Genomic DNA, 17,085 nt, shown 5'->3' on the forward strand with positions numbered 1-17,085 from the left:
TACTGCCCCAAAGAATTTACAAATTGAATGCTATTCTTATCAAACTAACAATGACATTCACAGAACTAGAAAAATCTATTTTAAAATTCGTATGGAACCAAAAAGAGCCCAAATAGCCAGGGTAATACTAAGCAGAAAGAACAAAGTTGGAGGCATCACATTACCTGACTTCAAAATGTCCAACAGGGCTACAGTAATCAAAACTGCATGGGTACTGGTACAAAAACAGACATTTATACCAACAGAGTAGAAGAGAGGGCCCAGAAATAAGGCTGCACACCTACAACCATCTTATCTTGGACAAGGCTGTCAAAAAGAAGCAATAGGGAAAGGACTCCCTATTCAATAAATGGTTTTGGGATAACTAGCTAGCCATATACAGAAGGTAGAAACTGGACCCCTTCGTTACACTACATAAGAAAATCAACTCAAGATAGATTAAAGACTTAAATGTAAGACTCAAAGCTATAAAAACCCTGGAAGACGACCTAGGCAATACCATGCTGGACATAGATAGTGGCAAAGATTTCATGACAAAGATGCCAACAGCAATCACAACAAAAGCAAAACTTGATAAAATTGATCTAATTAAACGTAAGAGTTTCTGCACAGCAAAAGAAACTATCAACAGAGTAAATATAAAACCTACAGAATGGGAGAAAATATTTGCCAACTATGCATCTGACAAAGGTCTAATATCCAGCATTTATAAGGAACTTAAACAAATTTACAAGAAAACAACCCCATTAAAAGTAGGTAAAGGACATGAGCAGACAGTTTTCAAAAGAAGACGTACATGCAGCTAACAAGCATATTTTAAAAAGCTCAGTATCATTGATCATTAGAGTAATGCAAATCAAAACCATTATGAGATACCATCTCACACCAGTCAGAATAGCTATTATTAAAAAGTCAAAAAATAACAAATGCTGGCGAGGTTGCAGAGAAAACTGAACACTTATACAGTTAGTGGGAGTGTAAGGTAGTTCAATCATTGTGGAAAGCAGTGTGGCAATTCTTCAAAGAGCTAAAATCAGAATTACCATTTGACCCAGCAATCCCATTCCTGTGTATATGCCCAAAAGAATATAAATTGTTCTACCATAAAGACACATGCATGCCTATGCTCATTGCAGCACTATTCACAAATAGCAAAGATATAGAATTAACCTAAATGCCCACCATGGCAGATTGGATAAAGAAAATGTACATATACACCACAGAATATGTATTAGTCCAGTCTCACATTGCTATCAAGAACTACCTGAGATTTGGGTGGGTTTTTTTGTTTGTTTGTTTGTTTGGGTTTTTTTGTTTTTGTTTTTGTTTTTGAGATGGAGTCTCACTCTGTCGCCCAGGCTGGAGTGCAACAGTGCAATCTCAGCTCACGGCAACCTCCACCTTTAGGGTTCAAGAGATTCTCATGTCTCGGTCTCCTGAGTATCTGGGACTACAGGTGCGCACCACCACACAGGCTATTTGTATTTTTATTTTTAGTTTTACAGGTATTTGTATTTTTAGTAGAGACAGGGTTTCATCATGTTGGCTGGGCTGGTCTCAAACTCCTGACCTCAAGTGATCCACCCACTTCAGCCTCCTAAAGTGCTGAGATTACAGGCATGAGCCACCATACCCAGCCAGACTGGGTAATTTATAAAGAAGAAAGGTTTAATTGGCTCATGATTCTGCAGAGTGTACAGGAAGCATGGCTGGGGAGGACTCAGGAAACTTACAATCACGGCAGAAGGCAAAGGGGAAAAGCAGGCAAAATCTTCACATGGCAGAGCAGGAGAGAGAGGGAGTCAAAGGGGAAGTGCTACACATTTTTAAACAACCAGATCTCATGAGAACTCACTCACTATCATGAGAACAGTAAGGGGGAAATCCACCCCCATGATCCAGTCACGAGGTCCCTCCCCTAACATTGGGAATTACAATTCAACATGAGATTTGGGTGGGGACACAAAGCCAAACCACATTAGAATATTATGCAGCCACATAAAAGAATGAGATCATGTCCTGCAGGAAAATGGACAGAGCTGGAGGCCATTATCTTTAGTAAACTAACGCAGGAACAGAAAACCAAATACTGCATGTTCTTACTTATAAGTGGGAGCTAAATGATGAGAACATATGGACACAAAGAAGGGAACAACAGATAGTGGGGACTACTTGAAGGTGGAGGATAGGAGAAGGGAGAGGATTGGAAAAAAAATAACTATTGGGAACTAGGCTTGGTACCTGGGTGATAAAATATTCTCTACAACAAACCACTGTGACATGAGTTTACCTATCTAAAAAAAAAAAAAAAAGCAAAAAACATAAACCAAGACCATGTCCTCGTGTCCTTTGCAGCAACATGGATGGAGGTGGAGATCATTATCTTAAGTGAACTAACACAAGAACAGAAAGCCAAATACCATGTATCACACTTATAAGTGGGAGCTAAACATTGAGTACACATGGACACAAGGAAGAAAACAACAGACACTGGGCTTACTTGAGGGTGGAGGTTGGGAGGAGGGTGAGAATGGAAAAAATATCTATCGGGTACTATGTTTATTTCCTGGGTGAAATGATCTGTACACCAAACTTCCATGCCATGCAATTTACCCATACAACAAACCTGCACATGTATCCCTGAACCTAAAATAAAGTTTTACAAAAAGAAAAAGTAGACATTTTTACATTGCTCCAAATCTTAAAGGGAAAACAGTCTTTCACTATTAATTATGTTGTTACCTACAGACTTTTTACAGATGTTCTCTATCAACATTAGAAAATTCCCTTCTATTCTTATGTTTTGAAGTTTTTATCATGAATGGATTTTACATTTTGTAAAATGCTTTTTCTGCATCAATTGATATAATTTCCATAAATATCAATTGGATCCTATTTGTCAATGATGATTTCAATTCTTTCATGTCTTTGCTGATTTTCTGTCTAGTTGTTCTATAATTTGTTGAGTTATATAGAGGAGTATTAAAGTGTCCAATTATAATTTATCTATTTCTCCCTTTAGGTTTATCAGTTTTTGCTTCATATATTTTCTCACTCTTGTAGAACATATCAACTTAGAACTTATTTTTTTTCTTCTGCACAGTCCAATCTGCCATGAAGCTCATAACGAAAATTTTTAGTTTGGATATTTCTTATTTCTAGAATTTTTCTTTAGTTTTTTTATGGTTTCAATTCTTCACTGAAATATCCCATATCTTCATTTCCTATGTCCATTTTTTTCTTTAGATTCTTGAGTATATTTTTTAAAGTATTGCTGGTTCCAACATCTGTGTCACCTTTGGGTCGTTTCTATTGAATAATTTTTTCCCTTAGTAATAGACCACATTTTCCTGCTTCTTCACATGCATAGTAATATTAGATTTTAGGCTACATATTGTGGATGTCACATTCTTGAGAGTCTTGATTACATTGTCTTCCTGTAAAGAGTTTCTGAGTTTTGTGTCAGGCAGTTAATTTGCTGGCAGGTCACATTATCCTACTAAGGCGTGATTCTAGTCTTTCTTCAAATGGGTCTAAAATACACATTTCTTTAGGGCATAATTCTTATTTCTAAGACATGGTCTTTCTGGATTCACAACTTAACCTATGTGGTTTTCAGTGAGGTTTATACACCATGGCTAGTCAGAACTTAAGTATCTGCCAGAGCTGTGTGGCCTTTACAATATCCATTCAGCCAAAAGCTCCCAAGCAGCTCTTTTCTGCTGCTCCTCCTGCAAAATCTCTGCTTGTTTTGATTAGTATTGAAGTAATGATCCAAGGAAATTTAAATTTCTGGTGCTCCTTTTTCTACACAATTCTTCCCTCCATGATACCCTGCCTCCCCAAATTCTAGCTACTTAAGTAGCCCTAAACTCTCATATAGGTATTTTCTGCCCAGTAAGTTTACTGCATCCTGTTTGGCCTTCACTTCTCTCTGCAACATTTTTGAAGAAAGATCAGAGTGAATGTGAACTCTCCTTATGTGTTCCATTTCTCTGAAGGATCTAACCAGGCAATGTCCCTTATCCAATACCCCAAATCAGTTGCTTCATATATTTTAAACATTTTTGTAGTTGTTTACTATGGAAAGTAAGTCTGATATCCACTATTCATCATAGTAAAGACTAGAATTCCACAGACATTGATATTTTTCAAAAAGTTCCTAAATCAATCTAAAGTGCATTGCATTCTAGGTAAAAGACCACTCAATTAGTTAAATAGTTTAAAATTAATAAGAGCTAACACATATAACAGGCTAATAATACAATATACGAGGCTTATTTAATCTTCACTGCAATTTTGTGAGGTAATTACCAATACTGTACAATTACACAGATGGGAATCTAGGGCACTGTGACTTTCCCAATATAACATAACTTATGAGTAGTAGAGACAGAATTAAAAAGGCAATATGTCTTTGATGTTAGTATTTTTAACCCTTTACTATAATGCCTCTGGGTAAGTATTAACTGTAGGGTTCAGCTAGATTAAATTGAGAAAAGGAGTTCTACTTTCTTCTCAAGGAGTTACTTCTAGTGAGGATATTTACTAAATGATTTTACTTACTAAAATTTTATTTTAAAACACTACGGCAAAGTATATCATCACTTATAATTTCATCATCAGAGCTTGTATTTATTGTACAATTGCTATATGCTAAACAATGTGCCAAGTGTTTTATGTACATTTTTTGTTTCTCATAATAATGCTTTGTGAAAGTAGTGTGCTAGGCTGGCTCTTACTAGCTCATGAGAGCTAATCGTTCAATTTCAGGAAGTTTATGAGCTGACTGATGTTCTGTTGGTGGAAGTGATTACACAACAGAAATGGGCAAATACTACAAATTAGGACTTCCTCTCACCTCAACACTTAAGTTACTTGTTAAATATTTACCAGCAAACCATTGATACTATTAAGTCTGTTTTGGAGTGAGGAAACTGATACTTGAGGTGAGGTGGAAATTAAAAACTTGCTGATGTCCACGCAGCAAATAGCATCTAAGCTGAAAATTTCAGAACCTAGATCTGTGCACAAGGTTAGCCGTCACACTGATCAGGTGTATGGTGATGACACTGATCTTGAATATTTGGGCTTGTAGAAATAGATAGAAGGGAGAGGTCATGCAATATCAGATAATTTTGATTTTAAAGGCAGTTTAAAGATTAGTTTTTTAAATATTTGGACTGAGTATTATTTAAGTAGATACATAATGATTATCTTGCCACTTCTCTTTTTACATTTGGAATTTTTGTTAAAAAAAAAAACCCAGATGATAAAAGCATCAGATGCTCTGTGATATCTGCACAGAAATTTTCTTACAGAGATCCTTGTAATTATCTTGCCCAGACACATGGTAGAAGGAGAGTTATGCCCTGTATTTTCTGCTAAGCAGAGTTTGAGGGTACTGTTTAGAGTGTTTTACCTGACAATTAAAATGTTTTGGCTCATAGCATTACTAAATGAGCCTCAGAAAGTTACAGAAGGTAATAGGGCCAATCATAAGAAAGTTTTCACTTCTCTTGAGTGCAATAAATAATTAAAACATTATTGAGTGCACCTTTTATGCCAGGTACTATTTTAAATGATTGATAAGTTTTAATTACTTTGATCTTTGTAATAAACCTATTTCAGGGGAGAAGGAAAGTTGCCAGTTGTTCCTCCTCTCCCCGATCTTGCCATCATAGCTAAATCACTCCTACATCCCAAGTGAAGTTGAGCTACCTCACTACAAAAAAACATATATTTTAAATACACAGTAATAGTTTTATACAATATTCAGATAAGAAAATACAGCTTTCTTTACTTGAGATTTTTCTTTGTCAGATCCAAAATAAAGATCAGAGTAGGCAAGCAGAAGGGCCATGTTTATATTAGGCATCCCCTTCATTTCACTACAGACCATTATGAATATCCAGCGCCAACTGAACTCATGACCAACTCGAGACAAAACAGGGCTTATTAAAAGAAGGGTCAGAAATCTAAAAGACAAAACAATTTTTACAAAGTTATTCTTTCATATGAGTTTCTTTCCATTTCATGCTACTCTATTCTAATCTACTCCCTGTAGAATTCCTAACTCTCAAACAAATGAGACATCTTTCACACACTGTTGACATGACACCAAAGAAAGGCAGCAGGTATTCCATAGAGAGACATGCCAAGAGAATGGTATTATTCTTTCTTTCTTTCTACTAGGTGAGTAGCATAGTAAATTTACATCATCCTTGAGTGGTGCTCCTTCAGGAGGAAAAAGAAAAGTTCGAGATGTGTTGTACATAAATTCTGAATCCCCACCCCAAATAAAAACAAATTTAATGAATAAGAAGTGAGAAAATGTTCTCTGTTTCTTTTTGTTTATAGATTTTAATCTTGCTGAATTGGTCCAATATTGGCCAGATTTTTTTTTCCTTCAGTCATATATCATTCCTATGTTTTACACTAATTTTATCTGATAATTTGGGAAATAATTTTATTTTACTTGGCACTAGATGCCTTGACTTCAGCAATTCAACTAGATGGAAGTAGAATGTTAATCATTTGAGTAATGGAGATTAAAGACCTATGAGACTCTAGTTATGGTGGTTTTTCTCACTCTATGCTATCTCCTTTTCAGCTACATAAACAGACTTTTTCTACCTCTTAACAGTGGAAAAAGAAACTACAAAAATGATTTGAGAAAAAAAGATGTTTACAAAGAGGGCTTCCCTATGATATTTAAAAAGCAATTTCTAACTATAGTTTTTAATTAATAGAAAATTGTTTGTTATATAATATTGAGCAAAAACAAGATTTTTATTTATAATAGGTACTTAACTTCATGAAATGTCATTACAAAAACATTGGACAAAATATGTCAAATGTTGAGTTTTTTTCTAATTAAAAAAACTTATAGAGTTTGCATTGCTTTGAAATTTAGTTAAAAGCCAAAAAAAAATTACAAAGCATTTATTTGCTGATGATCCTTGGAAAGTTTGAGTCAATTTTTCAATCTAAGGTACGAAATCTTTGTGTTATTTAAAAGATGACCTTCAAACTTACTCAATTATCTATAAATAGAAAAATTTTAATGATGTTCTTACCTTAAAACAATCAATGTTAAGTAGATATTTAATGAATAGTATATATCAACAAATTCTATATACAAATATGTATGTGCAGGAATTAGAAGTCCAAAGAAAGTAAACACCATGAGAAAAGCAATACGTGATAGAAAAGTCCAGAATCTGCATCATTCAGAAAAAATTAAAAATATTTATAATTAATTAATTTGACATCTTTATTACAAGGTTTATCTATGTGAATCATTGTGCTAATGATTACCAAAAAATGAATAAAACATTTACAAACAACTTTGACTTGTAGCTGAAAATGATGAAAAGTTATTAAATTATTTTACACAAAAGAAATGACCTGGATAAAGAGGAATTGAAAATATGAGATGGGTGAAGGTCAGTAAAAGATCATAGAATCAATAAATTTTAGTCTCAGTATGGTTGCAGAATCGTGAGAATTTAGGTACTAGAGGGCATATAGTGAAAAGATGGGAGATGGTACACCTTCTATGTTAAAGAGTTAACATGGACCTGTTACAGGTTGTTTTGAGATGTTAGTAGGATTTAACACTATTGTCTTAGATTTTCACTGTCTTCAAGAGTAGAAGTTGGTACATACCATATTTTAGATAGTAAGATTCTTGCAATTGAGTTTATGAAGTAGTTACTTGTACAACTGTGGGAGTGGGTGGTTAAAGAGGAGTGGTGGACATACTTATACAAGGAGAGAAGATCCAGGAATTGAAAGATGAGGGAGTAGAAGGATTAACTGTATGAATATTGACATCACTAAGAATGGTGATAGAGTAATATTGGAGAGTCACAGTGAGACAGGAACTAAAATCTTCACAAAATGGAGAATGTGACTTAGAGTTCTATAGATAATCACAATCAAGAGGCAGATGGCATATTCTGATGGCACGAGCTTCAAAATTGGATTCTTTTAAGGAAGTAGGAGATAGAATGATTTAGAAATCACTTCGAGGTTCAGAGAGATCACCTACTTCAATTGTAGGCTCAATAGTACTAGGAACGCAGGCAAGAAAGACATCACAACTTATAAGGAATGAAGAATAAAGATAAGTAATATATTTGAAGATCCAGCTTACAGTTGGAGCAAGAAGGGGAGGAAAACCTTCAGAATCATTCCCCATATATATAACTAATACTTGTGTAGCATTTTAAATTCTTCCCTCAGCTGTGGTCCATTTAATTTTGCCTAAGTGCAAGTACAATTTACTTCCATTGTAATTGGCATGGAATTTTATTGAAGTGCTCCAGAATCCTATAAGACCCTATATCTTTTAAGCTTCTTATATCAGAATTAATTCTATCTTCTATAACGTTGTCCCAAAACTCTAAAAACCATGGTTTACTTTCAGGGCCTTTGTTAACACATATGTTTTCATTATGTGGTTCAGGTCAAGTTTCCACCCTATGTATTGAAGCATTATGGAAAGTGCTCTTCCTTTTGGCTGATAACTACTCACCCCTTAGCTGAATTCCCTTGAGCAAGGCACAATTTGCACTTTTCCACCCATAGTCTTGCTTACATTTAGTGTGGTCATACTTTCTTTTATAACACTGCTAATCCTCTTCAAATGCCCCAGCTTACTCTTCTGATTTGCTTTACACAGCACCTCATTGTCCTTAAAATACTCATCTTTAGATTTTTTTTGCCTTAAGTTCAACTTAATTAAACTTAATTTTAAAATATTGCATTAAAATATTAAAATATTACTTCTCAATTACTGCACTTTTGGCACCCTCTTACTAGTGGGTACAAGATTTTATATGGGAAATTATTGAGGAGATAATCAGAGATTTGAGGAATGAGTGGGGAAAGAGAACCAACATGAACTCAAGGTAAGGTTACGAATTTGCTTTAAATTGGAGGATTCAAAGACACAGGCAAGAAAAAATAAAATCTAGGAAAGGTTTTTAGTTGGGTAGTTTTCAAGTCTTTGAAAATCTTACTTCGACCATGTAGATGTAGATATTGTTACTATTATAATATTATAGCTTCCAGTGTATGAAATAAAGTCAAAATATGCTATCCACTTACTCAAGAAGAAGTGTTTCTTCAATTGCTGCTTTAAAACTTGTAGAATTTAAAAGAAGTCCCACAATGGCCAGAGTAAATATTCCTGACATTCCAACTAACTCACCTATTTTTAAAAAGAAATAAATATAAAGTATTAATTTAACATCAACAGCAGCACAAATTTTACCCGAGTTAAAAGTATCAGATGTTGTGACAGTACCATGACTTTTATAGAGAGGCAACTTCACTTGATTTCAGCTGAAAAATATTGCAAATTATTACCACCACCCCATGTCCTTTTTCTTCCTCCAACTTATATCCAATTGTATTATAAAGCCTACTATGGGCATCTTTGCACTGCTTCGCATACCCCATTGAGGCTAGAGCACACTTTAGAGGTCTGGTTATTTCAGATGGGTTCTGGAGGGTTGAAATGAAAATCAGCTGATGATTTCGTGAACTTGCCCACAACTTCTTAGCAGACATAGTTCTAGTTAATAAGTAAAAATTGAAATATTTGTTTTTAATACTAAAGAATATTGTGGATATGCTACTTTTATCATATATTAAATTGTCATTCATACTTCGACTATTTCTGTGCCCTTTGTGTTTCTTTGACTTACTTTGTATTCTTGTGTTATAACAGTTGTATTTTAATTACTGTAGACCTATTAAAACATTTAATTATCTGGTAAAGAAAGTTCTCCACTTAAAAAAATTGTCTTGTCTATTCTCACACATTAATTTCTCTAGCTGAACTTTTGAAATTGTCATGAAATTTTAGATAGGCACGGTGGCTCATACCTATAATTCCAGCACTTTGGGAGGCTGACGGATGACTGCTTGAGACCGGGGGTTCAGGGCTGGCCTAGGCAACATAATGTGACCCTGTCTCTACAAACAATTTTAAAAATTGGCTTGGCTTGCTGGCACATGCCTGTAGTACCAGCTACTTAGGAGGCTGAGGTGGGAGAATTGCTTAAACCCAGGAGGTTGAGGCTGCAGTGAGCCATGATCATGCCACTGTACTCCAGAGCCTGGGCAACAGAGCAAGACTCTGTTTCTAAGAGAGAGACAGGGCCGGGCGTGGTGGCTCACGCCTGTAATCCCAGCACTTTGGGAGGCCAAGGCGGGTGGATCATGAGGTCAGGAGATTGAGACCCTCCTGGCTAACATGGTGAAACCCCATCTCTACTAAAAATATAAAAAATTAGCCGGGCGTCGTGGCGGGCACCTGTAGTCCCAGTTACTTGGGAGGCTGAGGCAGGAGAATGGCGAGAACCCGAAAGGTGGAGTTTGCAGTGAGCAGAGATTGGGCCACTGCACTCCAGCCTGGGTGACAGAGCAAGACTCCGTCTCAAAAAAAAAAAAAAAAAAAAAAGAGAGAGAGAGAGAAGGAAATTTTAAAACCAAAAAAATTTCTATCATTGTTTGATTTGGATTGTAATAAAGTTTAATTTAGTGAAATTAATGCCATTATTACATTATTGAGTTTTCCCTTCTAAAGATGGAAAATTACAAGTTGTCTATTTTTTATTTTAGTCCTGGCTGAAAATGGTAACAAAGGCAGAGTCATTGTTGAATCATGAAAGAAGAAGAAATCATGGACATAGGTTCTTTGAAACAATCAAGCCCTGGATTAGGTATTATAACTTGTTAGGTGATGGTGAAGTCAGGAAAATATTTATAATGACTATCTTGAAGGTACTAATAATATAAACATGAAGCCAGGTCACAGGGAAAGTCTTTTTACATTAAATTTATATTTACTCTGTATCTTGTTTTAATGAAATTCTGTCTTGGCAGGTTTCTTCCTAAAATGTTTATTGAGACATCTCGACTCTAAAAGTTTAAAATTATTTCCTTAAGTATAACCTTTAATCTTGAAACTAGGGTTACTTATTAAAAATAATGTTAGAGGAAATTATATTTGTTGGATTTTCTTTTAGGAATCTAAGTATACACATGAATACTAGCACATGAGGAACCCACCTGAATTAACTGATCATTCTCTCACTGTCTGTTAATTCATTAGCTTGATTCTGTAACCCTCGGTATATTATAATTGAATTTAATCCACTGATTAATTCATTAGAAAGCCTCAAGATCCTCTGGTCTGCCTTTTCCTCTTCAGAGGGAAAAATAATAAATTCCCATTACTCTAGCACTTCTGAAGAATAGTTTTTCTATGCTTCAATTTATTCAAATTTTATATTTCTTAATAACTTTTATAATTTTCTATGTTTAGGTCCAAACTATTTGTTAAGTTTATTCATTGATATTTTATAACTTTTTACCAATACAAAAAGAATCAAATTTTCATATTTTCTAGCTAGTTATTGCTGGCTGATAAAAATACCGTCAATTGTTTTGGATAACTTTATCTTATATCAAGCCATTAAAGGGTCTTGCTGACTTTGTTTACCAATTAATTCTGTTGAATTTTCTATATGATATAAAATGTCGTGATTAATCTAACCATTTTTTCTTTTAAAATATGTATAAATGTTCCCCCTTATTGTATTAGCTAGAGCCTTCAGAATTATTTTAAATCATGGATGTGAGAATATACACCATTGTCTTATTCCTAAATGTAACAGAGACATAGTACAGGTGAGGTAACTAGGTGTTATCTTGCATGTCAATTCCAAATCATGTGAAGGGCTGTCTGAAGAGCTGAGTTAAATGTGATTCTGAGGCTGTGTCAGGAAACAGCAGTATGGCTAATTATCAATAGCTACCATATTTTTGTGAGGAGGTGATTGTGGGACATGGATTAATAACATTGATAGATACTCTAACATTTAGCTTTACTTGATATGTAACTTCTATTTTGATTGCCTTTTTGATCTAACAGTTACCAAGACAAAATATCTAATTTACAGGTAGAAACTGCCCCCGCTCCGCCTTTTTGTTAGAGAGACGGCTTCTCTCTTTGTTGCCCGGGCTGGAGTGCGATCATAGCTCACTGCAGCCTCAAATTCCTGGGCTCAAGTGATCCTCCCGCCTCAGGCTCCTGAGGAGCTGGGACTACAGGCATGTGCCACCACATCTAGCTAGTTTTAAAAATTCTTGTAGACATGGGATCTCACTATCTTACCCAGACTGGTCTCGAAATCCTGGGCTCAGTTGATCCTCCTGCCTCAGCCCTCCAAGGTGCTAGGATTATAGGCATAAGCCACCACGCCTGGTAGGAACCCTCTTTTTGTAGTCCATATTTAATTTAATTGCATCATGTTTGAACAATGTTTGAAATTTTATTGAAATGTTCTTCGAGTTAATTTCTGCGAATTGTCTACAGGTATATGTAAAGGATATGCATTCTGTTTTGGGAGGTAAAACTCTATATATCTTATAAACCAACCTTATAAGATATTTAAATATTTTTATAACCATAATCATTTTTTGTTCAATTAGTCATGAAATTCTCTGGGAAAGGCATAATAATTTATCTTTCTGTAATGATAGTTTTGTCAAATTTTTCTTTCTTTTATAATAGTGTTTGCTAATATTGGTACATTGTTTCTGTTGTATAGATATTCATATGTTTAATATCTTTTGATAGATTATTTTAATAAAAATATTCTGTCTAGATCAGTTGAATGTTTTTACTAACTTTTGCCTGGTATGCATTTTTCATATATTTTTATTTTGAAGTTTTCTATGTGATTTTATTTTAGGCATAGGCCCCTCACTTACAAATATAAAAGATGAGATACAGAATTGAAAAGATGAGACTTATATGATTGACATCATCACCAAAAACAGTTGACATCCAAAATTGAATCAGTTTTGAACTTAGAATTCCAAACAAGAAACTTGCTATAATATATGAACAAATTCCACCCACGATCTCTTCAGCTACAAGAAAGGGGCGTAAATAAGAAATAGTTAATAGAACTTGCCGTTAATTTTAATTGATATTCCTTGTTAATTTTCCTTTTTGTCATTATCTTTAAAATTAGCTAACTGCCACAATGAACATGAGAGTGCAGATATCCCTGGGACATATTGATTTCAATTCCTTTGGATATATACCCAGAAGTAGGATTACTGGACCATATGGTAGAGTTCTACTTTTAGTTTTTTGAGGAACTTCCACACAGTTTTCCATAATAGCTTTACTAATTTACATTCCCACCAACAGTGTACAAGAGTTTCCTTTTCTCTGCAATCTTACTAACACTTCTCTTTTATCTTTTTGATAAAAGCCATTCTAACAGATGTGAAGTGATATCTCATTGTGGTTTTCATTTGCATTTCCCTAATGTTTAGTGATGCTGAACATTTTTTAATGTACCTGTTGACTGCTGAGTGCTGTAGCTCATGCCTATAATCCCAGCACTTACAATCCCTCGGGAGGCCGAGGTGGGCAGATCACTTGAGGCCAGGAGTTTGAGACCAGCCTGGCCAACATGGCGAAATCCCATCTCTATTAAAAATACAAAAATTAGCTGGGTGTGGTGGCACATGCCTGTAATCCCGGCTACCTGGGAGGCTGAGGCATGAGAATAGCTTGAATCTGGGAGGCAGAGGTTGTAGTGAGCCGAGATCACACCACTGCACTCCAGCCTGGGCAAGAGAGCAAGACTCTGTCTCAAAAAAAAAGGGTACCAGTTGACCATTTGTATGTCTTCTTTTAATGTCTGTCTGTTCTTAGCCTATTTTTTAATCGGGTTATTTATGTCCAATATATGGAGTCAACCTCAGTGTCCATCAGTGAATGAATAAAGAAAATATGGTAAACATATACAATGAAATAGTATTTGTCCTCAAAAAAGAAGGAAGTCTTGTTATTTACAACAAGATGGATGAACCTAGAGGACATTATGCTAAGTGAAATAAGATAGGCACAGAAAGGAAAATACCGCATGATCTTACTTATATGTAGAAACTAAAAAAGTTGAACTTACAGAAATAGAGAGTAGAATAATTATTACCAGAGGCTGGGGATGTAGGGAGGAAGAGAATAGGGAATTGTTGATTAACAGGTGCAAAGTTTCCAAGAGAAAGCAGTAATAAGTTTTCAGATCTATTCCACAGCAAAGTGACTGTAGTCAATGATAATGTATTGGTATTTCAAAATAACTAAGAGAGTAAATTTCAAATCTCTCATCATAAAAAATTATAGTTAAATGAGGTGACGTTAATTAGTTTGATTTAATCATTCTACATTGTATATATATATATATATCAAAGCCTCACATTGTACCCCATAAATGTATACATTATGATTTGTCCATTAAAACTAATATTAATAAAAATAGCTCATTGTCTTTGGGGTAGATGGACAATATTTTCTTGTTTCTGTGTTGAAAGAGTTTATTTTCAACTGCTAAAAGCCACGCTTAAGTTTGTAAAATTTGGTCAGTTTAGTTTAAGAGCTCCTTTCGGTCTCCATTAAGGAATTTATTCAGTGCCTTTAATGTGTCAAACATGTAATAGATTTTAGAGATATATGAAGGAACAAGTAGGAAGTCCCTAAACTCATGGAAGTGATACTCTAGATCTAATGTAATACACACAGGAAATACAGAAAGAGGAGTGTCTCTAGGCCTCAGTTGGGTGAATCTCCTGCATTATGTTGGCCTGCCAAAGTGACTGATCGCTTCCTTATTTTTGAGCATTTCATATGTTTTAGCTTTTCACCCTGATAAACAATGTTGCAATGTATATTTCTGTACATACATTTTTTTTGTGCTTCTCTGTACTTTTAGGTTCCAAAAGTAAAATTCATGCACCAAAAGATATTTGCTTCTTTGGTGTTGTTACTTTTATATTTTGCCTAATTGCTTTCCACAGAGCAATGTCATGATGCCCTTCCCAGGAAAACAGGGAGCCCAAGGCCATCAGAGGCTCTTTGCTGGAACTACACATGCCTCTAGGCCACATGAGCTCTAGGCACAGAGCTGGTCATGGCAATAATTTTGAGTCCAGCATCTCCTGTCACTGAAATATAGGATGGAGGCTAACTCTAGTTGCAGAAACATACAGGAATCTGGAGTTCGAAGACCCCAGTTTGAAAGTTGCTTTTTCCTTTAAGAAAGGAAAATACATTTTAATAAGTAACATGTTTGCTGACTAGATTTGTTAAGCCAGGAAAAGTCTCAAAGCAAAGCCATTACTGCTTATACTGTTTTAAAATTTCTAGCACTCAAATTGGAAAGAGTAAGAACTCTGAGTGAAATAATCTTTCTTAATTTTTCCCTATTATAAAATATGTGCTAACTTCACAGATTAGTAACACTGTTTAAATAATTACAGAAGTTATAAAAACAATGGTTACTCTGAAAAGTATTGATTCACAATTGTCAAATGAAATAGCAGTAAAGCTTATTATCTTTATTTCTTAAGGAAAATTTGTATTTCAAAGGTGTTGAAGTTCAGAGAAAGTCCTAATGTCTAAAAAAGTAAATTCATCGTTCTCTTTCTCCTACAGCAGAGTTTTTACTGTTGAAGTCATTACTATTATTATTTTAATAGTGATTACTTACAGTTTTTATTCCTCTGAAATACAAAAAAATAAAGTTCCATTCTATTCATTATTATCAAAATTACAAGGCAAGCTCTATGGAGGCAAGGGGATTTTGCTTATTGTGCTTATGGTTAAATGCTCAGGTCCTAGAATAGAAATTCTCACATAGTACATATTAATAAATAATTGTTGAATCAGTAAATGAATGAACTTCCACATCAGAACCTTTATTCTTCCTTTTCCTTTCCCTTCTCCCAACGAGTACCAAAAAAGTTCCCCTGATTAGCCTGCAGATGTCATTTCTGATATAAGTTTCCCTGAAAATCCGTGGTCAGTATATAATATCTTAAATAAAGCCTGGTAGAACACTGAACCAGGTTTAGTAGGTGAACACGGATCCTCCTGAATGGCATGCACAATTGTACTTCTTTCAGGTTTTTTAGTTCCCCCAAGGGTGGCCCTTGAGTTTTTAAAAAGCTTCTGAATATAGAAATTTCTTTGTTGCTCACCTTAGTCAACTTCAGGAAGGTCATAGCTATAGGAGGTTTTATGGTGAGCGCTCTCTGAGTGCCATATTGTGTCACCTCCCTTTGCACCCTGGGTTTTAGTAGAGGTTGTGTTTATGGTTATTTGGCTTTCACACACATCACAGATGGTGAATTGGAAGTACCTAAAGATGATGTACCTTTCTGTGCTAAACTGAGATTCCAGGTTCACCACAGATGCTCCAAGCTTCCATGGGCTAGGTAAACTAACACCATACAGAGAGCTTCACCCATCTGTTGTCCATAAGCCTCAAAGGCTGAAAGCAAATACCTCCTATGCCCAAGTGGGGTAACTGTCCACAACCTGGATCAGCTCCTTTGAGGGAGGGGTGAGGGGGTGGTGGTCCTCAGGATGATTCTTCTTGGGAAAGAATATTCTTCACTTCGGAGTTTTAGGATAAGGCAGGAATAGGAAAGAATAGAGGTATACAGGGTCCCTGGTTGCACAACAATGAAGCACTCTCTAGGGACAGGGAAAACAATTACAGCTAAAATCTCCTCTTCTTGAGTAGTAGGAGAGGAATTTAAGATATTCTTCATTGCTGAGGGGAGGCGGGGAGTAGAAGAATCCCACTGCAGCAGAGTGGATTGTTTGATACCATACAGATCAATGGATTAGAATATGTTGTGGAGGCACCTCCTAAGCACACCTTTTCCACAGGAATGGGGGCAGTGGTGGAATGAGACAATGCTACATAAGACCTTAGAACAAAGAAGACACCCAGTGCATAGAATAGTAGGTCGTCAGTTTATCAAGGAGACTGTAATAATTGCTTTTCCAAAACCAGCGCAAGTGCACCACAATAAAAAGGTAAATAAATTCTCAGTAATATTATGAAAATGCTTTGATTTCATAGACATCCTGAAAGGATCCTATGAACCCCCTTCCTCCACTAGCCAGGGATTCAGAGACTAAACATTGAAAATGACTTTTCTAGGAGGAAGATACAGGGTTTTGACCAGAGAGGA

The 17,085-nt window shown here is 35.3% G+C and overlaps 1 protein-coding gene across 14 annotated transcripts in view; it reads right to left on the bottom strand.

Moving 5' to 3' along the window:
• Nucleotides 1-17,085, bottom strand: part of SLC9C1 (solute carrier family 9 member C1) — a 153,319-nt gene that overhangs the window by 116,223 nt on the left and 20,011 nt on the right. For 10 of the 14 annotated variants that reach the window (XM_017006247.2, XM_017006248.2, XM_011512719.2 and 7 more), the window contains 4 exons: nt 12,796-12,957; nt 9,118-9,220; nt 7,080-7,223; nt 5,804-5,978 (listed from right to left, as the gene is read on the bottom strand). In XM_017006247.2, the coding sequence (XP_016861736.1) occupies nt 5,804-5,978; nt 7,080-7,223; nt 9,118-9,220; nt 12,796-12,957 (584 nt within the window). Of the gene's footprint in view, nt 1-5,803; nt 5,979-7,079; nt 7,224-9,117; nt 9,221-12,795; nt 12,958-17,085 lie in introns of those variants that run through there. The other 4 variants (XM_011512718.2, NM_001320531.2, NR_135297.2 and 1 more) reach the window with 4 other exon arrangements.

The sequence above is a fragment of the Homo sapiens genome, chromosome 3 (assembly GCF_000001405.40).
Source record: "Homo sapiens chromosome 3, GRCh38.p14 Primary Assembly".
NCBI lineage: Eukaryota > Metazoa > Chordata > Mammalia > Primates > Hominidae > Homo > Homo sapiens.